Below are 23,969 nucleotides of genomic sequence, written 5' to 3' on the forward strand. Positions count from 1 at the left end.
CAGGGATATTGCTTTGTTAATTGCCCCCTTAAATAGATCTCTCTACTTATTTCTTCCCTTCAGTCTCAAAACATGTTCCCTTATTGCTTTCTTTAAAAAGCAAATCCAAATGCACACCTCCTTTCAACCCCACATCCCTTCTGATGGCCAGGGCCCCCATCCCTTCACAGAAAACTCTGAGCAAGAGAAGTCTACACTTGCTGACTCCACTTCCTCATTTGCTTCCTCAGATAGAGGTTTTCTCACTGCCATGTCCTCCCAGACATTCCACAACCAAGGCACGCATTATGAGGGATGAAATGCTCCCTTGGATTCAACTGTCCTCAGGTCCCAAGGACAGGGTGAACTTTGCCACCCAAGAAGCCCCCAGAGGGTGCGAGAAGGGGAACACTGGCTCATTCCATTTTGTAATCACCACTTAAAAAGCTTTAGTTAATTTTCCATTAATTTAGTTGTTCCTTTGTTCAACATGTATTTGTTAAACACCTGGAGTGCCCCAAGAAAATATGATTAGGTGACTTCTGAATGACCCAGCATATTCCAAGGATGCTAAAAATGCTGCGGAGATGTAAATCTATTCCGTAGCCCAGTTGTACAAGAAGCAAGACCAGCAAGTCCTTTTTCCTGCAGAAAAAATTGTTATAAAATTTTTCTTTTAAAAAGTGTCCTTCACCCAAGCCAACCTCCACTCCCATACGTGTTTCTGCATTTAATAGTGCACTTTTGAGCAAGAAAAAAACTAAAGCTGTTCTGGTGATTGATTTAGAGGGCCCAGCTCTGCTTAAATTCCCAGTATATTAAGACAGTGCTAACCTCAAGGACTCCACCAAAGCTCTACCCGGGCAGGGCTAATGCAGAGCAACAAACCGATTTCAGAAAAAGCATCTGGGACAAAGGCAATGTGGTAACAATTGGGTTACTTGGGAAAATCAAATATAAGAATCCATTTATGCCCGTGATATATTCTGAACACATCTCCTTAGGAACTGTCTTGCAATAGACAAGCATTTCCTTAAGTTGCCCTGATATAAACATTATTCAGATACCCACGCTCAATGCCGCCAGCCATTCCCAAATCCCAGAGCTTCTTTATTTACTCTCCCGTCTCAGATTCTCAGCCAGGAGTGGTACCACCTCCTCCAGAGGCCTTTTGGAGGTGTATGGGGATGTTTTGGTCTTGTAGGGACACTGCTGGTGTCAGGGTCAAAGAATGGTAAGCATCCTACATTGAATAGGACAGTCCCACGCAGTAAAGAACTGCCCCACCTAAAAAGTTGGTGATACCCTACTAAGAAACGGGACCAAAGAGCAGCAACTCAAGTACCCAACTTCTTGAAGGTCTACTTCTACACTTGGTGCAAGGGACATCATAGGAAAACCTCCCCACTTCCTGCTTCAAATGAAAGAGGAAGTGCCTTCGGGGAGGGCACGGTATACATGCCATTAGGGAGATGGAACTCTTGCAACTTATACTCTGTCACTGGCTTGCTGTTCATATCCTGGACTCTCCTGGGTGTGGTTTTGCAAGACCATTTTGAATGGGGGAATGAATTATAGAAAGCTGCAAGGGGAAGTGTTAGTGAAAGCAGCCCTGCCAAATCCTTGGGGTCTGAGGAGTTTACATGTTTCCTGCCTGGGGGTTGAGTCAAATGGAAAGGCAGGTCAGCTTCATGTGCTAGCATGACTTGGTGGCAGGAGAGACACTGATAGAAGGAGGTGTCCCCTGCTCCTTTCCAACCTATGCTCATAGCAACTGGCCCATCATTAAGAAAGATAACCAGGGGCTGGCTTCTATCCCAGTAGGGGAGGGCACATCTCTCAAGCTCCCATCCCAGGTCGCCATAAAAATATACTGAATGTGATAAACAGATACAGATTCTGCCAGCTCTTATCTTGACTAATAACAACTAATACTAATATTAGCAATAACAGTGATTACCTGGTTGATTGAGGGTTTCATGTTTGCCAGCCATGGTGCCAAGCATCCTATTTACTGCTGATCCTGAACAATGCAGGGGTTAGGGGTGCTGACTCCCCATGCCGTTGGAAATCCATGTGTAAGTTTCCTTTTTTTGAGACGGAGTCTCGCTCTGTTGCCCAGGCTGGAGTGCAGTGGCGCAATCTCGGCTCACTGCAAGCTCTACCTCCCGGGTTCACGCCGTTCTCCTGTCTCAGCCTCCTGAGTAGCTGGGACTACAGGTGCCTGCCACCATGCCTGGCTAATTTTTTGTATTTTTAGTAGAGACGGGGTCTCACTGTGTTAGCCAGAATGGTCTCCTGACTTCATGATCTGCCACCTCGGCCTCCCAAAGTGCTGGGATTACAGTCGTGAGCCACCACGCCCGGCCCATGTATAACTTTTGATTCCCCCAAAACTTAACTGCTAACAGCCTACTGTTGACCAGAAGCCTTATGGATAACATAAACAGTTAACACATATTTTGTGTTTTATGTGTATTATATACTGAATTCTTACAATAAAGTAAGCTAGAGAAAAGAAAATAGAAATAAGAAATCACAAAGATGAGAAAAATTTACTAAGCAGAAATGGACCATCATAAAGTTCTTCACTTTCCAAAGAATGGTGGGTGGAGGGCATCTTTGTGTTCAGCAGGCTGAGGAGGAGGAAGAGGAGGGGTTGTCTTGCTGTGGCAGAGGCAGAAGAAAATTTGTATCTAAGTGGATCCATGCAGTTCAAACCCATGTTGTTCAAGGGTCAATTGTATCCCTCCTCTTAATCTTCACAAAGCCTCTGTAAGGTAGATGGCCTTAACCCCATTTTACAGAAGAAAAAACAGGCTTCAGATTAAGGCTGGGAATTTTCAAAGGCTGCGTGTCTGCAGGCTGCTAGGAGGGCTCTGTGAGGAAGACTGGCTAAGCCTTCATTTACATAAAAAATCAACAACTTTCTTAACATTCATTTAGGAAACAGAGGTGCATTGAGTGGCTTCCCTGTGCCAGGCGGTGCACTAGGAACAAGGGGATACCTGGAGAATAAAACAAAGGCCTCTCCCTGGAGGAACTCACCATCTAGTGGTGGAGAAAGACCATCAGGTGTAACAATTCACAAAGAATCACCAAATCCAAGAGCTGTGAAAAAATCAGACAAGGTACAGAGATCTAAGAATAACAAGTAAGGACACCTTAGATAGGATGGTCAGGAAAGACTGCCCTAAAGAAGCAGGCTTTTGGCTGAGGCTTGAGGGATAAGAAAGGGGAGAAGGGAAGTGGGGGGCTTTGGCTCTAATGCTCGGGCCCTGGAATGCTGAGATTAGATATCTCCCAGTGGGGAGATGAGTACCCCAATTCCTCAGAGAAAGTGGAGAACCTTAAAGGCAGGAGGCATGTGCAGACAGCCCTCACAAGCCAGGAGGGAGCTGATGAGCCTGTGGCCTGTGTTCAAGCCCAGGGTGGATGGGGAAGGGTAGCGCTGATTGAGAGATATTTTCAAATCTCCTCCAACCATATCTTAGAAACCTGCCATCAGTACTGTCAGGGAGAAAACTGCAAATTAGATTCAGTTTTCCTTTAGATCCTAAGGAGAAGAGTATGCCTGGGTAGTTGACTAATCAGGAAGTCCATCCCATATTCTCATTGCAACCTTCACTCATGAGCAAGTGTGCACTGCATGTTGCCTGTGTGCCAAGCTGGCATTACACCACCCTGTGATGGCTTATTGTTCTGTCTCTGTCTAGAGAACTTCCTGAGAGCAGGGGCCACATGTTTAACTAAACTAGGGAGACAGTGCTGAGTCATGGCTCTGAGCATGGGGTCTGAAGTTAGGCAACCTGGGTTCCAAACCAGGTTCTACCACTCGGTAATTGTGTAACCTTGAGCAAGTTACATACCTGCCTTAAGCCCCAGTTTTCTCACCTGTAAAGAATAGCAGTGCCTACTTCAAAGGGCCATTGAGAGTTTTAACTGAGCTTAGATATACAAAGCACTTAGAAAGATGCCTAGAAACAGTAAGCAACAAATGCAAGCTACCTTTAATAATCATGAATGTTTGTTGAGAGATTACTCCAGTTTGAACGAGAGACCAATATTACTGAGCCCAGTTCTGTGCCCGATTTGGTGCTAGGCACATGCAGGTTTGTTACTTTATTTAATAGCACCCGCCCCCATTTTACTGATCAGGGAGGCTCAGTGAGGTAATGTGACTTGGCAGAGAGCACAGAGCCAAGGCGGGATCTAAAATTAGCTCCTCTGTCACTGGGTTTGGTGACCTGTCCCCAAGGCCAGAGAGGCCTGGGAAGCAAGACTGTCCAAAGAACGGTGGGTGGAGGGCAAGAGACTCAGCCCCTCTCTGGTTAGTGAGTCTGAACATTGGTCCACTGTGGAGCTGCTAATGACTGCTTCTCCCCAGCCTGCAGGAGTTTAATAAAAGTCATGCAAAACTCACTGTTTACAACTCTAATTGTGGAGTTTGGACATGAAGTGAAGAACATATCATGTGGAATGAATAACAAATCAAGCAGCTCCTTTTTTTTTTTTTAGCATGGAAGCTGCAGGAGCAGCCCAGAGTTCACCATCACTTGGTGCACAGAAGGTTAACACTGCAGCACTAACATCTGTGTGCCTATAACATCCGTTGGCTCCCTCCCTGTCTGCCTGCTCCCCTGACCCTGAGCTGATGTGTCCAGGCAGGAGATGGCTGGTCTGCCTCTCTTTTGCAACTACCAAAAGAGAAATGGAAATAAGGTTCTTTCTAAAAGCAGGGTGGGAAGCTGGCTGGGTGCTCACCTCACCCAGAGAATGGGCACCAGCTCTGGGTGGCCTGAGAATCAGGGATAACTGCAGGCAGGTTCCAGGGGGCAGCTGTGAAAGTCCTTTGGGCTATGCCCTGTGGAGGCTGTGGATTCTAAGGAGTCAGTGCTGGTAGAGAAAGCAGCGCTGCTGGGTGGTAGCCCTCCTCTTCCCAGCCTTCGCCGTGGGAGCAGTTGCTCCTGGCTGTGACATAGTAAAACCTACAATCATGTTCTAGGACTTATGGCCTACACACTCAACTATTGGTGGTGGGGCCTAGGGATATCTTTACATGTTTGAGCCAAATGAGGATAAGCTGGCAAGGTGGTTTTAAGATTACATCAACTGACATACTGAAAGTGTCTAGCAGAGATGGACACATACTAATTATATGTGTGTGTGTGTGTGTGTGTGTGTATGTGTGTATATATGTGTACATACAGAAGTAAATGCATAAACAGATATATAAATATTATATATTAAGACATAAAAACAATATAACCCACAGTTAAATGGTATTTCCTATGAACTAAGCTTTAAGTTACAGATACTTGAGGTCAAGAGAAATTATGTGTTCAGTTCCAGGTCACAAGCTAACCAGTGGTGGAGCTGAGATTCACAGCCAGGTGGACCTAGCAAGGTCCATTCACTTCCTTTCAGTGGTGCCATCAGGAAAGAGTGAGACTGCAGGCTGGATTAATGAAACAACTCACTCCATCATCACTTACCAATGAGGAGACAGACAGAATAGCACGTTCCTGAGCTCTGGAACACAGGCAAGGATACGTTAGGCATGGGTCTTCATGGATTCTCAAAGGGCTGCTGGAATGAAGGGAGCCACCCCAGCCCAGAGACTCTGGAGTGGGGATAACCGCAGGTTTTCAGCCCAACTCTTAGCCTCCGATGTCCCCTTTCTTCACCCGTGTAGAGTTTGCTCTTGGGTGAGGCATAGTAACACCTACCATCACCATCACATGTGGGGCACCGGGTCAGGCATCATGGCATACAGGCCATCACATCCCTCACAATCATTCAGTGATGTGCAAGTTACATCCCAACTTTACAGATTATGAACCTAACAGGTTAGAAAGATCAGATCACTTGCCCCCGTCATACATGTGGTACGGGCAGAACTGGGCCTGGACCCCCAGCCCTTATCTGACCTCATGTCCACACTCTTTCTACCACATTGCACATCCACCACTACCCTGCACCCCCTCAAACAACCATCCTGCACCGAGAAACTGAACGTGTGACAAACAGAAGCTGAGGGTGGCTGCCGAGAGTGAGCCTCACAGGGCCAGTCCCCGCATCACTCTGTACTGACATGAATGGTGGCCCCTGGAACCGTGCGAGGTGACAGCTCAGAGGACAATAAATACAGAGACCCAATTAACCCTAACTGGATTAGTCCCTAAATAATGCAGAGCTGGAGGTGACCAGAAAAAGCTGCAGGAGTGTACGAGGCTCCCCTGAACATTACCTGGTTGGGGTTCCCCAATACCATTCACTAGCAGACACCTGAGCAATGAAACCACACGCCACGGAGTCATGGAGGGCACAAGAAATCAACTCAGGGGTTTTTCCAAACTGCACAGCCACCCAGCGCCTGGTATTCTTATTTATTTATAGACAAAAATCATAGAAAACTGGAGAAATTTGCCAAAGGCCACAGAGAAGTGGCTAGACATTTAAATTCTTGGCACACAAAGGAAAACTTCTGCAATTGTCTCTGAGATGTGACGTGAAAGATATGGGGGTGCAAGCACGATCCATGAGAGGTCTTTAATGCCCCTGCGGACACTGGGGCCAATACCACACAGGGGAGAGGTGATGGCTTCGTGGAATTCATCTCCAGGTTAAAATAGAGTACTTCTTTCATCTCAACTCTAATCTTTAAACCTTGAGTCAAAGCACTTCCTGGAGCATAAATGTGGCAGCTTTAGTATTTCAAAAACGTCAGAAGGAATTAAAGTCGCTTTCATCTTTCTTCTCCTATAACCAACAATTTACCTTTCCATAGAAAAAGCACTCCCCCAAAAACCCTGTGTCTTTTACAGTCTAGTAAATTTAGGCAGAAAGAATGGGAGAAATCCCCAGACCTGGTTTTATTCCTGCTCTCTCTTTTTGTGGGCTAGTGGGAAAGGAGTGTGGAGCAGTAGGTTGTAAGATTTCATTGTATAAACTGTGATCATCTAAGTTCCTGCCTCCCTCTCCAGACAGGAAGTCCTCCAGGGCAGGGACTTGGGCAAAGCTGCCTTTTTGTCTTGTAATGCTTGACGTAAAATAATACTCAACGCATGTTTGTTGAATGAGCAAATGAATGAGTGATTGATTGAATAAAGACCTGGTGGGGAGACCCCACTATTGTATGTTTCCCACCAGAAGAAATTTTCCGGGCTGTTACACTAATCAGGGCTAATATTCTCAGTTATTTTGAGGATTGCTTGAAATTTGCTGCTAATTTAAACAAAATGGTTATGTTTATGCATTAATCAATTAGCATGGTTCTCAGCAGCTTCACCTCACTAATTTGATTAGTTACCCTCTGCTTTCTCCTATCCAAGGCCTTCTCTGAGACCTGGGAATATCACAACGACAACAGAGTGAACTTTTTAAATGGCACTGAAGCACAGTCTCTCAAAAGGTTTAAACACAGATGTGAAATGTGTCCCTTTGTCCAGCCCAAGCTGTCTTTGGGTCTCCAATATTTCTGGGCCCCACTGGGTCCCGTTATAAGTTGCTCTACAAAACTATTCCTATCGCTTTTTAATAACAGCCATTTTGACTGGTGTGAGATGGTATCTCATGGTGGTTTTGATTTGCATTTCTCTGATGATTAGTAATGATGAGCATTTTTTCATTGTTTGTTGGCTGCTTGTATGTCTTCCTTTGAGGAGTGTCTGTTCATGTCCTTTGCCCATTCTTAATGGGTTATTTGTTTTTGCTTGTTGAGTTGTTTAAGTTCCTTATAGATTCTGGATAGCAGATCTTTATCAGATGCATAGTTTGTGAATATTTTCTCCCATTCCGTAGGTTGTCTGTTTACTCTGTTAATAATTCCTTTTGCTATGCAGAAACTCTTTAGGTTCCACTTGTCAATTTTTGTTTTTTATTGCCAGACCAAGCTTCTTCTTCAAGGAAAATGAAACTTTCCAAAATATGAGGACTTCATAAAAGACAATCTATCATATGTTTGATGAATGAATGAAAGAAACAATGAAGGAGAAACTGGAAGTCAAAATACTGGCATCCTTCCTAGTCCCATCTTTGCCAGTAACTTGCAGTGTGACTTCAGGCAAGTCAATTCACATCCCAGATGCCATTTTCTTATTTTTTCTTATTTGTCAGAGATGACATTGACTTAGAAAATATCTAAGTTTTTGTGACAAAGACAAGATCTCCCGGACACACAGAAAACCACAACTTGCTACCCCTCTGAGTCAGGCAGGGCCATGTTACCATGTCTGGCCAGTGAAATGAGAGAGGAAGTGATGGGAGACCCTTTTTGGCCTAGAAAGTGAGAGTCAGGTTTCCATTTCCACTCTTCCCATTTGGAGGTGAACTGGGTTGGATTGTGTCACCCCAAAATTCATATGTTAAAGTCCTAACCCCCAGTACCTCATAATGTAATCTTATTTGGAAATAGAGTCATTGCAGATATAATTAAATTTGCATGAGGTCACACAGAAGTAGAATGGACCCTTAATCCAACATGAGTAGTGTCCTTATAAAAAGGGGCAATTTGGACACAGACGCACATACTGATAATGCCATGTGAAGGGTGATGTTAAGCTGCTACAAGCCAAGGGACCAGCAGAAGTTAGGAGAGTGCCTGGAGTAGAATCTTTCCTAGGCCTTCAGAGGGAGCTTGGCCCTGCTGAGACCGATCTCGAACTTCTAGGCTTCAGAATTGTGAGACAGTAATTTTCTGTCGTTTAAGTCTCGCAGCTTGTGGTACTTTGTTACGGAAGCCCTGGGAAACTTCTGCAGGGGAAAAGGTCAGATGGTCAGGCTGTGACCCATAAGAGTCACTGAGTCACTAGTGGCCTGGAGTGTCCCTCGACCTTCAACAAACTTTGTGAAAAGAGTAAGAAAAATACCTGAAACCTAGAAATAAGGCAAAAACAAAGAGGGGAAGTGGCCTGTCCTTTTAATATTATCCTGGGACATTAACGGGCCCATCCAAGAGTATGTAATTTTCCAAGAGAATGTACTCATGCTTGACTTTGCTATTTACCTTTTGATTCTCTCTCAGACACTATGAAGTTGTATGCTAACTCCTAGATTTCTGTCTGTGTAGAAAAGATCACATGAAAGGCTATAATTTTATTTCCCCATAGGACATGAACCACTTTTGCATTTAATCTCTCCATTTTATTTTGACGTTTTTCTTTAGAAAATGTCTACAGATACTCAGTTCCTCAAATGCACTCAGTACTTGCTTAACCGTCTTACTTAGAAAATGCCTACAGATACTCAGTTCCTCAAATGCACTCAGTACTTGCTTAACCGTCTTACAAAGTCAGCAAGATGAACGGGGCCAGCCTGCAGTCCTGCCTTCTTGCCCTTCTTACACCTTCACCATTCTTGGCCATTGCTGGCTGAAATCCAAGTCATGAAGCTCAAATGTTGCCCCATATGCAATGCTCAAGAGAGAAACAAGTTCAAATCTTGGCTGTGGTGAAGATTTGAAGATTAGAAAATAGAGAATAGTCTGTTGCTAGCACCAGAATATAGCTTCACAAGGACAGTCACTTTTTTTCTGGTTCATCCATTTCCCAGGGCCAAGAACAGTATCTGGCACATGAATGCTGTTCATAAAAAAGGAGCAATTTGGACACAGACACACACATGGAGAATGTCATGTGAAGGGTGGAGTTATGCTGCTACAAGCCGTTACCTTGATTTGGACAAGGTAATGAATTAAAAAGTCATAGAATTCCAGGGTGCAAGAGCCCTTAGGAATTTCTTAGCTTAAGAGCCTACATGGTATAAAAATCCTTCAGAATGTCCCTGGAGCCTGCCAAACATGGCTCAGTGCTGATGACGGAGATGTCAAAATAACCTGAGCCAATGATTGGGAAGAGTTTCCTCATGCTCAGCCAAAAATCTGCATCCTTATACTTTGGAAGGAGTTTTAACGTCCCCCTTAAATCTGTTCTCTTTTTAAGCTAAACAATTCCTACTCTATTAACTCAAGGACATGGTCTAGAGTGTCTTTACCAATCTGGTAATAGTAATAATAGCCAACATTTAGTAAGCGATGACTGTGTACCAGATTTTGTTCTCTAAACGCTTTATGTGCATTGATTTATTTAATCCTTATAACAACTCCACAAAGTTAGTACTACTATATTCTCTCTTATGCTGCTACAAGCCAAGGGACCACCAACCACCAGCCAATTTCATTACAGGCAATAAAATTGAGGCATGAGGAGACACTCACCTAAGAGACTCAGTTAGTAAGTGGCATGGCTGGGATTTGAACCCATATAGTCTGGTTCTTAATCACTATATATTGCCTCAGAAATTGTCTTTCAGCATTTTCAGGCTTCCTATCAAGTGTGATGCTTAGGGAGGAATATGTAAGTTTTCATAGAAGAGGTCAGAAATACCGTTACCCTGGCTTGGTCTATATTCCCTAGGCAACAATGTAAAGTGCCACCTCCATCTCCTGCAGTTGTACAGTGCACAACCTGCACAATGGCATGTGACAGTTCCATCCGTGCATACACGACCTTCCCAAAGCTCTCCTTGTCCTATGTGGCCATGGTAACAATAAAGATCTTGCTGAGAACTGCCAGTAGGAGGGGGTGACATCCCTGGAAATGCATGTTGAATGTTTGATTTGGACCAAGTCTGTAGGATTCAGAGGATCTTTGGGGTCCTCACCTGTCCACAGTCTCCTTCTGAGATGTACCCTGACTTCATTCTCAGGTAACACGTCCTAGAGTACCCCTTTTCTTACTCTTCCATGAGCAGTGAACTTCTTGCGGGCTGGAAGATGACTTTGGGAAGCCTTGCCAGACAGCAGCCCCTTACCTTTCACTCATCCCCTGCCCCTGCGTTCATCATGGGTGGATGTAGGAGCTCAGGCTGGGAATACCCAGCCCGTCCCCAGGATAACCTTGTCCTTTCCAGCTCTCCCAGCTCACTGGGCAGGCCACAGCCTCAACAGAGTCCTGCCACAGCAGCATCCCTACCCCTTCCTGGGAAATGTGTGTAATCTGAGGCTGGTCCCAAACCTCCCTACACAGCACTGCTAGTTGTGCATCTGAGCATGGCCTGGCGTGAAAGGTCACCAGGACACCAAGGGCTCCCTGTACAGCCCAGCTGCATGAGTGTTCTGTGGCTTTGGGGGATGAGGAAGGGAGACCCAACCCTTTGAGACTTGCTGCAGCTTCACATCAAGAAGCTTATTTACAAAGGCAGCTCCCAGCATTCCTGGCAAGCACAAATTCACAGTTTCCCACGCCAACTGAATTTCAAAACAAAGGAATTAGAGATAAGCAGATTGTCAGAGCTAGGAGTGTTGAGCCTAAAGAAGCCCAATCCAGCTTTATCATCTGCAGACAGAAATACAGGCTCAGATGAAACTCATCAATGGTGAGAGTGGTCAGAACCATCCTTACCTTTGGGTGGAGGTATGACCAAGAGGACAAATGAGGAAGCCTTCTGGAATGATGGGTTTGAACTTAATGGTGACTGTACAGTGTATACAAAGTTAAGAACTGTGCAGTTAAGATTCGTGTATTTTAGTATAAAATTCTACCTCAATAAAATAGTAAAACAAAATAAAGGCCCAGAGAAGATTAAGGTGATGTTGCAATTGTGTAGCAAGACAAACCCTTGAACTCAGGCATCCCAATGCCCACTTCACTGTCCTTTCCTAACTCCCTTACATTTTTGGTGCCATAGTAACTCAGTGATGCTCCAACAGTTTATGAGTAGGTTTTCTGTTTTGTTTTTTTGAGATGGAGTCTCACTCTGTCGCTCAGGCTGGAGGGCAGTGGCGCAGTCTCAGCTCACTGCAACCTCTGCCTCCCAGGTTCAAGTGATTCTCCAGCCTCAGCCTTCCGAGTAGCTGGAATTACAGGTGTGTGCCAACATGCCTGGCTAATTTTTTTATATTTTTAGTAGAGACAGGGTTTTGCCATGTTGGCTAGGCTGGTCTCGAACTCCTGACCTCAGGTGAACTGCCTGCCTCGGCCTCCCAAAGTGCTAGGATTACAGGCGTGAGCCACCACACCTGGCCTATGGGTAGGTTTTGACCAGGGCAGGCCCCCATGGCAGATGGCACCATGGGGTCAAGGAGAGTCAGTCCAGGGTTGGTTGCAGCTAGAACCTTGAGGGTATTTACACTGAACAGGAGTCAGGGTTAAAGTGGAGTAATAATGGTAACACCATCCTTATAGAAATACTAATAGATAACATTTATTGAGGACTTACTACATACCAGGTATGGTTTTAAATATTTTACATGTGTTAAATCCTCACAACAACCTTTTTGGTGTATCTACCATTGTTAGTCCACATTTTACAAACTAAAAAAATAGGCTTAGATTTTAAAACCTTGCCAAGATTTTACAACTAGAAAGGCTCAAAGCTGGTATTTAGATTCAGGCAATCTGGCTCCAGAATCCACACTGTAAGTATAACAGATACTGTCCCATATTGTATCATCTGCAGTTGGTAGAGAACTGGCAGCCTCTGCTCAGGCCAACATCTACCATCACACAGACAAAACATTCAACATTTGTCCAATGGTCCAGATAAGATCACAGGTGTCAGAAAGCAGAGCAAGAATTTACAGAAAGACCAACTACTTGTGACCTGGCTACCTTGGCCCACATTCAAGGATAACATGAAGACATTCTGTGCTGAAAACCCAGGTGCCCGACTTCATTAATAATCAGAGAACTGCAAATTAAAACCACAGAGTGATAGTACTATACACCCACTACAATGGCTATAATTAAAAATATGGGTAATACCAAATGTTGGCAAGGATGTAGAGCAACTAGAACTCTAATATAAAGCTGGGAGAAGTAAAAATTGGTACAACAATTTTGGAAAATTGTTTGGCAGTTTATTAGTTGGCTCAGGCTGTCACAAAGTGCCACAGACTAGGTGGCATAAATAACAAATTTATTTTCTCACAGTTCTGGAGGCTGGGAAGTCCAAGATCAAGATGCTGGTCAATTTAGTTTCTGCTTAGGAACTACTTCCTGGCTTGCAGACAGCTGCTGTATCACTGTGTCTTTCATGGCAGAGAGAAAAGAAAGCTAGTGATCAGGCTCTTTGATGTCTGCTCTTATAAGGACACTAATCCTATCAGATTAGGGCACCACCCTTATGACCTGACTTGACTTTAATTACTTCCTCACTTGAAATACTACCAGGGTCAGGGTTTCAACATATGATTTTCAAGGAGGGGCACAATGCAGTCCATAACATTCTGCCCCTGGCTTCCTCAAATGCATGTTTTTAAGGCATGCAAAATACATCATTCCATCCCAACAGCCCCAAAGGTCTTAACTCATTCTAACATCAACTCTAAAGTCCAAAGTCTCATCTAAATATCCTCTACAGCAGGTAAATGAGACTCCAAGTACAATTCATCCCAAGGCAAAATTTCTCTTCGAATGTGAGCCTGTGGAATTAGATAAGTCATGTGGTTCCAAAACACAACTGTGGGAAAGGCATAGAATAGATATTCTCATTCCAGAAGGAGAAATCAGAATGAAGGAGAGTGATGAGTCCCAAGCAAGTTCAAAATCTCAGCAAGTCAAATTCCATTAGCTCTTAAGGCTCAAGAATAACCCTCTTTGGCTCAATGCTCTGCCCTCCAGGTCCACTGGGGTGCCAGCATCACTACCGTGGCTGTGTGGGGTGGCCCTGGCCCTTAGGCTAGACAGGGCACCAGCCCTTCTCCTGGTCTTGTGGTGGGAGTGGCAGCCCTGATGATCCCTAAAAATGCCTTTTGCATCATTCTTCCTTTTCTTGAGGAATAGAGCACATTCACAGCCAAATAGCTCTATGGTCCCTATGGTCCTATGTACTCCAAGTCCAATAGCATTCTTTCATTCTATCCCACTTTCTCTGTCCCCTTTAGTTCAAACTGGCAGTCTCTCTACAGGTGTAATTTCATCTGTATTCCTGGCTTCTGTTGAAATGACTGGCAAAGTCCACCTAAGTCAAACTCATGTTCTCTTTATCATGAGCCACACCTTAGTGTTTTTTTCAGAAAGAGCTTTCTCAGTTTTTTGCAACATGGATAGGCTGATAATTCTTCAGATCTTTAAGTTAAGGTTAAGTGAGGTCACAGGGATACAGCCCTGACCTGATAGGATTAGCATCCTTATAAGAATAGACACCAGAGAGCTCATTGTTGTGTGCTGTCTGTCTTTCCCATGTGAGGACACAGCAAGAAGGTGGCCATCTTCAAGACAAGAAAGGAGCCCTCACCAGAAACTGAATAGGCCAGCACTCTGATCTTGGGCTTCCCAGCCTCCAGAACTGTGAGAAAATAAGTTTATGTGGTTTAAGGCCTGTGATATTTTGTTTTGGCAACCTGAGCAGACTAATGCAGGCAATGTCTACTAAACTGAACATATTTCAACCCTATGACTCAGGAATTCTGCTCCTGGGCATAAAACCAAAAGAAGTGAGCATATATGTACACCAAACGACATGATCAAGGTTGTTCATAGCAGCAGTATTCATGATACTTCCAAACTGGCCATAGTCCAAGTGTCCATCAGCAGTTGAATAGATCATGAATTATAGTATATTTGTAAAATGGAATACTACATAGTAGTAAAAATGAACAAATTACAACTACAGGTAATAGCAGGGATGTATCTCAGAAATGTAATGATGAAAGTGTTCCCTTTTCACCACATCCATGCCAACATCTATTGGTTTTTGACTTTTTAATTAGGCCATTCTTGAAGGAGTAAGGTGGTATCTCATTGTTGTTTTAATTTGCATTTCCCTGATGATTAGTGATGTAGAGCATTTTTTCATATGTTTGTTAGCTGTTTGTATATTTCTTTTGAGAATTGTCTATTCATGTCCTTTGGCTTTTTGATGAGAGTATGTGTTTTTTTTTTCTTGCTGATCTGTTGAGTTCCTTGTAGATTCTGGATATTTATCCTTTGTTGGATGCATAGTTTGTGAATATTTTCTCCCACACTGTGGGTTGTCTGTTTAATGATTTCTTTTGCTGTGTGGAACACTTTTACACTGCTGGTGGGAATATAAATTAGTACAACCACTATGGAAAACAGTATGGATATTCCTTCAAGAACTGAAAGTAGAACTACCATTTGATCCAGCAATCCCACTACTGGGTATCTACCCAAAGGAAAAGAAGTCATTATATGAAAAAGATGCATGCACATGCATGTTTATAGCAGCACAATTCACAATTGTAAAAATAGGGAACCAACCTGAGTGCCCATCAGCCAACGAGTGGATAAAGAAAATGTGGTATATATTCATCATGGAATACTAATCAGCCACAAAAAGAAATAAAATAATGTCTTTTGCAGTAACTTGGATGAAGCTGGAGGCCATTATTCTAAGTGAAGTAATCCAGGAATGAAAAACCAAATATCGTACGTTTTCACTTTCATATAAGTGGGAGCTAAGCTATGAGGATGCAAAGGCATAAGAATGACATAATGGATTTTGGGGACTTAGCAGGGAAGGTTGGGAGGAGGGGTGAGGAATAAAAGAGTACATACTGGGTACAGTGTACACGGCTTGGGTGACGGGTGTACTAAAATTTCAGCAATCACCACTAAAGAACTTATCCAAGTATCCATGTAACCAAAAACCACCTGAATCTCAAAAACCATTGAAATAAAAATAAAAATTAAAAAAATATAATTATGAAAGAAGTCAACATAAGAAAATATATATTATATAGTCCTATTTATGTAGAATTCAAAATCAGGCAGCAATACTCTTATTTTTGATCTGGGTGTATTCACTCTGGAAATTGATTAAGCTGTACACTTACAATTCATTTATTCCCTCTATATATGTTTTACTTCAATACAATGTTTAAAAAGATAGTCACTCATTAAAAATGCCACACCATTGTTAACAATGAGGAACGTGTTGCCATACTGGGTTGTGTGAGCACAACCTGATTTGCTGGCCTGCAATTAACCAGCCAGTAATGTCACAGCAACTCAGTCCCCAAAAAGGACAAGATGGTAGAGGTCGCAATGGACAATCCCTGGGAAGGCTCAGCATTCACACACAGAGTGACATACACGTCATGATGTCCTTCAGTTGTGTGTTTCGGTAGGCAATAGCTCTTTTAAACCCTCTTTTAATTGTAATTGCACACATAGGCATATCTTACATGCTAAATATCTTTTTTTTTTTTTTTTTTTTTGAGACGGAATCTCGCTCTGTCGCCCAGGCCGGACTGCAGTAGTGCGATCTCAGCTCACTGCAAGCTCTGCCTCCCGGGTTCACGCCATTCTCCTGCGTCAGCCTCCTGAGTAGCTGGGACTACAGGCGCCCGCCACCACACCTGGCTAATTTTTTGTATTTTTAGTAGAGATGGGGTTTCACCGTGTTAGCCAAGATGGTCTCGATCTCCTGAACTCGTGATCCACCCACCTTGGCCTCCCAAACTGCTGAGATTACAGGTGTGAGCCACCGTGCCTGGCCTAAAACATCTTTTTAAATCATTGTGTACTTCTGGAGATAAGTAAACTCTGGGAATGTTATCAATTCAGAACAGGTCAGCCTATGACATTCTTGGTCAAGGGTTGTCTGCTGTACTTTGTTCAACGAACCATTTATCTTGCCTGTGTCTTGGCATCCTCTTTGAGTATCTGAAGCTTAGACTATGAATGGGGAATTTGTAAGAATAACTTATTTTCCTGGTAGCTGCCCTTCATTCTCCACCAGAAGAAGGTCAGAAGAAGAGCTGGAAAGAAGGACCATGGCTATAAATTTTGGCCCCAGCTATGATCTACTAAAGGGCCGAGCTGAAGACCATGCCATGGTACTCTGAAGGGACTCTGACATTTCAGGGAGCTTGGGAGAACCTCCCACTCTTGCTAGGGAGCAGCTTGGTTGTCAGAGCCAGAACTGTGATGTACCCATAGTTTCCACAAAGGAAGCAGGTGTTTCTCTTTAGAAGTGTAACCCCTTTCCTCCTCATCATCCTGGAGGATCCTGGAGTCATAGCATCCACTCCCTCAGCTTCCTTCCAGGCAAGGCAGGTGTGACCCATCCTCTTCAGCTCATGAGGATGTGCCCTAATGAAAAGCCCCAGAGGCCCCTGGTCCCAGAGCTGCCATGACAGAGCCTAGCTCTCCTTCCCCATGACAGAGCCTAGCTCTCCTTCCCCATGCCAGGCACTCATATGCACACTCCTGGCACAGGAATCTCTTAGAGGACTCACCTGAGGCGTCATCCCATGGCAGATGTACATGATGGGGACATTCTCTGTATCTGGCCCCTGGTCAAGACACAAATCAGTCTTCAGAGAATTCTGCAGCTGAACATCAGAGAACAGATGGCCACACCAAAGAGAGAGGAACAGAGAGAGCAAATGAATTAACTCTGGAGAAACAAGTATTCTGCTGAGACAGATTTCATGTCCATAATCAGCCCAAGGCCCTTGAACACTATAGAACCAACAAGCACCAGCTTTTGCCTTGCGTAAAGGTGCTGAGGGGAGACCAGCCTCCTTTGCAGGAGAAACACTTACATGTCATTAAACAGTGAGCTGGGTTACAGGAGATGTGCATGCGTGTGCACACACAAGATGGTGCTTGTTCTTCAGCCCCTCCACTTCCTCAGGGGTGGGACAACAGCCTTCAAGTGTCCCTGAGAGAAATCTTTGCTCTTTAGTGTTGGGGGAAATGGGCAACATCTTAGCTATTTTCAGGCCTCAGAGGTCCCCTGGGACCAGACGCTCTCTGCCTCCTGCAGACCCAGCAGTGGCTTGGCCAGCCCCTTGGTGGCCCACTGCTTAGGGTCTTCCAGAGTGGGAGGTCGGATGGGAGAATAAGAGAGGAGGGGGCCAGGGTGGGAGCAGGAGAAGAGAGCAGCATCTCTTATCCTCACCTACAGGTGGATGGATCCAGTCTTGGCAATTAACACATGTCTGGGTAAGACAGCTTATATTCAATGTTACTTTCTTGCTTACAGCCACTCTCAGCCCTTGGAAGGGCAGCCCATAGACCTCATGGCCCTGCTCACCGGCCACAACTGAGTGGACCATGGTGGGCACCAACCCACGCTTCAGAATTAATCACTCTCTTTCTCTGCCTCTCTCTCCTCCCCATCTCATTACTCTCTTATCCTGTCTTAGGAACCTAAACAGAACCCAGAGACTGTGATCAGTGGGTGGTGGCCACTAGAATTGTAAGGCTGTTTAAACTGGGCATGGGGGGTTCTGTTGGCCATGGCCATGTGCAAGCAGAGAAAGTCAGTTGTGATCAAGGATATGATGATGCACGAGGCAGACAGAATGAGAGACAAAAGAGACCATCTTGCCCCTGCAGCGGCTTCAGTGGCTTCCCTGCTGGAGTACCCATGTCCAGCTGCATTTCACTTCCTACTCCTGTAAGAGTCTGTGGTACCTTTACCCCCCTCACCTTAACTTGAGCTGGCTTGACTAGGTTCTCTCCTTAGCAATCAAAACACTCTGCCTAGAACAGGGGACTGGAGATCAGAATCCAGGGAAGACAAGGAAAGAGGCCACAGGGAGGCTATCTATCTGCGGGGAGGCCAGAGACAGCAGCAGGGCCTTTGTACTCCTGATGGTTTGTGGCAGGAGCAAAATGAAGCCAATGAAGAGGCATGAGATGGAGCCGATAACCAGAGGCCCACGTGTGCTCCATGCATACCCTGTTCCTAACAGGGGACAAGGAACAGAGTTGAATTCTTTTCTTTTGAGCTTCCTTTCCTCTACTGGATGGTAGCACCTTAATCCCAAACTTGCAGTTCAGGGATTCTGAAGAAATATTGCATGAATGTGTGTCTCAGGCAGAGCCCCCAGTAGCATTTCTGCAGCAAATCCTCCATTATAAACCAATTCCTTGGTTTACCTTAGTGGGAAGAGCATATGTAAACACACTTTGTTCTTGTCCTACAGCCCATGAAGAGGTGGGTGTCATATCTAAAGCCAAGCACTGTAACCCACTAGGAAAATCTGCTAACTGCTGTTGCAAAGAGGAAGGCCTGGAGAGCCCTGATATTAGACTTGGCTTTCCCCTGGGTTCTTAATGCCAGTGCTTGGGTGAGAGGGTGGGTGTCTTTTGATAAAGTCCTCCCTGGCTCTGTGCCATTCCTTCCCCCACCCCCCACCATCCCTTAGGCAGGTAGTCCACTGAAGGAGCTAGAAGCAACAGGCTGGGATGGAAACCTGGCTCCAGCTGAGGGGTCTTGAATAAAGCAATGTAACTCCTTGTTTGTTTTCTTCCCTCTAAAATAGGAATAATAATAGTGCCTACCTCATAAGGCTGTTATGAGGATTAAGTGAAACAATGTCTACAAGTGCTTAGCATAAGGCCTGGCAAATAACAAATGTTGCAATAATTGTTGGCTGCTATTATTATTGCTGTAACCTTCCTCAAAGCCATTCAGGGAAACCAGCTTTTAGGAATGCATCTATGTGTCAGGTACCATGTGAAGTGCTTTCCACATATGTCTCACCTAATTCTCATAATGACTAGCCAGCCCAGAGATATTATCTCTTTTAAGGATGAAGGAACTGTGGTGTAGTAACAAGCTCCACTCTCCTCCCTGTCTATAGTGCTATTCAGCCTGTGTGGACACTTCCCCATATCGCCCTTGGTCTTGGCCTCCTCTTTGCCTCTTCCCTTGGCTCTCAGCTTATCTGCCACTCTGGAAGCCTTTCCCGACCCAAGTCTGGTATGAGACCACATTCCTGTGCTTCACTAGCACCCCATTTCTCAGGGTAGCACTTAGCAGGTTGCATTCTTGTTCCTTCTTCACTTGTCTGCCCTGTTAGTCATCAGACTGGGTCTCAGTCTCACTGTATATCATACAGGCCAGGCACAAAGGAGACAGTCAACACTCGTGGAGTGGGTGAGTGAGTGGGTACATGAAAAACATGCGTAAATGACTGGCATTCCCAAATGAATGGAATCATAGTCGGACAAGTGAAAGAGCTGGTCTGTCAGACTCCAAAACCCAAGCTCTTTCCGTAGTGCAAATGGCTATAATCCTGAGGCTGTAACATATGCCCTATGAAATGGCATTACTGTGACCACTAAGGTTTTGCACATTGTCAAGTTTACATAGCCTAGCCATTAAGGGGCAAAGCTAACATTCAGAAGCCAGGCATGTCTGTTTCCAGATGCCCCTCCATCTCTACTCTCAGCACCAGAGCTGTGATTAATCCAATGCTACCCCATCTCCTGGACATGAAGCTCAATGATCCAGGGGAAACTTATGCCCACACGATGGGGCCCACAGGTCCTTAGGCCTGCAGGAGTCATTAATGGGACCTATTAGTGGATTAATGGGCTGGGCTATAGACTTGATACTGGCTCGACTCAGAGTCCCAGAAGTCATTTGTCCTGAACAATGTCATTTGGGCATGAGTTGGAACAGAAAAAGGAAAAAGAAATTATGCCCCTGAAAAGACATCTGGTCTCTTCATTTTAGGATAAAAATAATTACCAGGAAGAATGATTCAGACCCAGCAAATACTCTTGCTATTGTGGCTGCATCCCACTTTGCCCATCTTCAGCCAGTTGCCCCCATTAAGAGTTCATTATGCTCTTTGACAAGCAGACGTGTCTCTGCTTATGTAGGGGCTTGTCCCGTGGAGAAGGCAGGAGGGAGGGGAGGCTGGCTGGGCCCTGAGCAGTGGTGGGCTGATGAATGTGTAGGGGGTCAGAGCCCTCTGCCAGCTGCAGGGATGGCTAACACAGCTCAGCCCTTTGGGATGGCAAGTGAATGGTTTTCAGTATGACAGTAAACACAGGCCCAGCTCTGGACTCAGACAGATCTAGATCACAACCCTGTATTTGCCACTTAGTATTTGACAAACCAAATGTTTCTGGGGATGGCATGGAGGGCCTACATGTTAAACCTGTTGCACACATGTATAAGATGAGATGCTTTTGCTTGGAGGATGAGAATGCCTTTGGCCAAGACCCAGAATTGCAGTGGCCACATGTACACACCTCTACTGTTACTGCTTCTCCTGCCTCTCTGGGTGAGTTTGGCTAATCCTGCTCAGCCACAGCTGACAGCCTGCTGAGAACATGAATCCAGAAGCTTGCCCTGGCTCACAGAGGCTTGGGGCCAATAGTTTCTCTGGAGCCACAGCAGCGTAACTCTCCTTTTAGGATTGGGTTCACCCATGGCCAAGCAGCATACATAGCTTGCTATGGGTGGAGTGTGGGGCATCAAAGGCAGCTGTGTCCTCAGGATGGTTCTGGGGAGGTGAATGGGACAGATAGGCACCTTACAGTGCAATGTGTTTCCATGGGGACAACAGGATCTGGAGACTCAGGTACTACCTGAGCAGCACTGGCTGAGGTGTTTGCAGAGATGTGAATTGCACCAGCCTGAGAGGTGGAGAGGTGAGAGGTCACTGCATGGTTCTCTTGGGATATGTCAACCATGCCATGGGGACACTCATGGGAGGATAACACTGTCTCCTACAATCTGGCCTTCTGGCTAACAGAGACCCTGGGGGTAGAGGGCATGGGTCTAGGATTCCAATTCTGTCTGCTTTGGAATCCTAGGATGTATATGATATAAGAGTTGGGGGGCACATAGGGAGCACTGAGCCCAATTTCTCAGCAGATTCTTCCCGCTTATAGGCAATTGTCCTGTTCACTACATTCCCATCTGGGGCAGGCTTTGAACTCAGCTTTAACCACAGCTAATCAAAAGAAGAGACTTCAGTTCTTCCTTCAAGTTTTCATCTTGAGATATCAAAAAAGGTCTGAGGGGACACTCTCCAAAGGGAGGAATCAGAGTGACACCAGAAGCTGGTTTTTTAGACTTGGTTTCACTGCTGATTATGTGAGCTTGTGAAAAATCACTCTTTGACTCTGTTTCCCCACCTGTGACATGGAGATAATATAGCTAATCCTACACAGAGTAGTCTTGGGGGTTTGTCATGGCAAAAGTTTATGTGTTTAGACTGTAAGTCAGCAAAAGCCAGGCGAGATAGCCAAAAATCAATCAAAATACCATTTAAAATACCTTACGGCATTTGACCTGTACGGTCCAGGGAATATTGAGAAAATGGGAGAGTTTATCATATTCGAAGTATTTTAACCTTAGACAGAAAATACATTTTCTGTCTAAGGTTACATATCTACAAATCTTAGATTTTCTTTTACTCTACGGGGATAGTATTGAATTACCCCCATTTAACAGGTGAAGAAACTGAGGCCCATGACATTAAGACACTTACCTGGGAAGCAGCCTGGTTAAGATTTGAACCAGGTCTGTCTAACTCCAAACCCTATGCTCTGCCCCCTCCATCTTTCTCCCTCCCATCAGGGAGAACTTCTCTGTGCCCATCAACAAGCAGTACTAAAAATACAGCAAATAAAATAAATTCAAGATGGCTCTGTCTCTAGAACTCTTCTCAGGGAGGCTCTGCATGCGAGTGGGAGGCATTAGCTCCTTGGTCAGGGAGGCACACAGGGTGACTCATAGACCCTCAGGCACCCCAGCTGGGAGAACAGCAGGTGTTTGTTACCTTACCTTTTAATCTTAAGCTAACTGCTTTATTATGTGTTTTATTAAGCGGAATATGCAGGTGTGGGGCCAGAGCTGAATTGCTTAGGACTATAAAGGAGAGACAAGTACCTCTCTCAAGGGACTGGAGGGGTTTGGGCTGTAAAAGTAAAGGCTGTCTTGCAGGTGCAGAACCCAGCGCCCGGTCCCCAGGCCTACTGCAGTTCTTCATGTGAGCAGCTGAGAGGCTCTTTCCCTCCTCTCCCTTTCTTCACTATGTTTCTTTCTGTCTGTGTCTGAATGAAACCCGGAGGAGGCCAGCTCCTTACCACTCCATAGGCAATGATGTCGGAGTACATCCTCATCTCTGGGTACACGCTGACCAGGTACCACCGGAAGGTCTTGCACTGCAGCTGTTTCCTGAGAGCCTTCCTTGCAGTGATGTCCCCAATGTCAATTCCTGAGTCCTGCACAGGGACGCAGAAGCAGAGATGAAGCCACTCCCAGGTTGCAGCTTCTCCCCAAACTCTACTTTGGCATGACCTTGTGCCCCCAACAAGATTCCTAGAGACTGGGGAAGGGACCATGTGGCACGTTAACTCTTGCATTTTCCCACGGGTACCTTAACCCCGTAACCATCCTCATTTAGACTACGAAACACGAGGTCAGCATTGCCGGGCCTTGTCATCAAGGGCCATTGAAAAAAAAGATGCCAAATCCTTAAAGAAAAAAAAAAAAAGCTATAGTCTGGGTGTAGATGAAAGAAATGGGAAGAATCCATCTGAATAAAGCTTTTCCCTACCTCAAGAGGCAAGATGAGAGATTCTGAGCTTTAAGGTGAGAGAGAGGGGGGAAGGAAAAAGCATTGAGATGAAATGATGCTAATTCTATAGTATTAATAATACTATTCCTAAGAATCGTAACAGCTAAGGTTTAAACATTTCCAAAGTGCTAGGCTGTATTCTGAATGAGACATGCAATATATATATTTATTTACTTCTATTTATACGTATGTATTTTGTCCCACTCATACTTATAAAGTAGCACTACATAATCCTCCTTTACGGATGATGAGTTGAGACAAAGAGAGGTTCAGTAACCTCCTTGGTAACTTGCCCAAGACTCCACAACTAATAAACGGTGGAGCTGAGATTTGAACCCAATTAACCTGGGTCTAGAGTTTCTGCTTTTAACGTTACTCTACGTGTTTGGAAGATCCCACCCTTCTGCCTCCTCGGACCAAGTCCTTGCAGGAGAAGCAGACTCTCTTTAAGCCTGGGAGTCTTGGCATCTAGAGTACTTGTTTCCCTCCTTTCTCAGGAGCATCAGAGAGGTGGCTCCTGAGCCACCACGGTGCAGCAGCCAGGGAGCAGAAGTGACACATGATTGTGTCCAGGAGTGAGAAGGCTAGAGAAGCCCCCTTCCTCATATTTCTTGTAGAGCAGAGTTGGGCAGCACTAAGAATTCCTTGGCCTGCATACCCGCTGTTGAATGGGGCACAGAAT

The 23,969-nt window shown here is 45.0% G+C and overlaps 1 protein-coding gene across 2 annotated transcripts in view; it reads right to left on the reverse strand.

The window, feature by feature from the left end:
• The window catches only part of GALNT18 (polypeptide N-acetylgalactosaminyltransferase 18), a 351,129-nt gene that overhangs the window by 39,024 nt on the left and 288,136 nt on the right, over window positions 1-23,969 (reverse strand). For both annotated transcript variants that reach the window (NM_001363464.2, NM_198516.3), the window contains 2 exons: window positions 22,794-22,931; window positions 17,186-17,281 (listed from right to left, as the gene is read on the reverse strand). In NM_001363464.2, the coding sequence (NP_001350393.1) occupies window positions 17,186-17,281; window positions 22,794-22,931 (234 nt within the window). The remainder of the gene's footprint in view (window positions 1-17,185; window positions 17,282-22,793; window positions 22,932-23,969) is intronic.

Source organism: Homo sapiens, chromosome 11 (assembly GCF_000001405.40).
Source record: "Homo sapiens chromosome 11, GRCh38.p14 Primary Assembly".
In the NCBI taxonomy this organism is placed as follows: domain Eukaryota; kingdom Metazoa; phylum Chordata; class Mammalia; order Primates; family Hominidae; genus Homo; species Homo sapiens.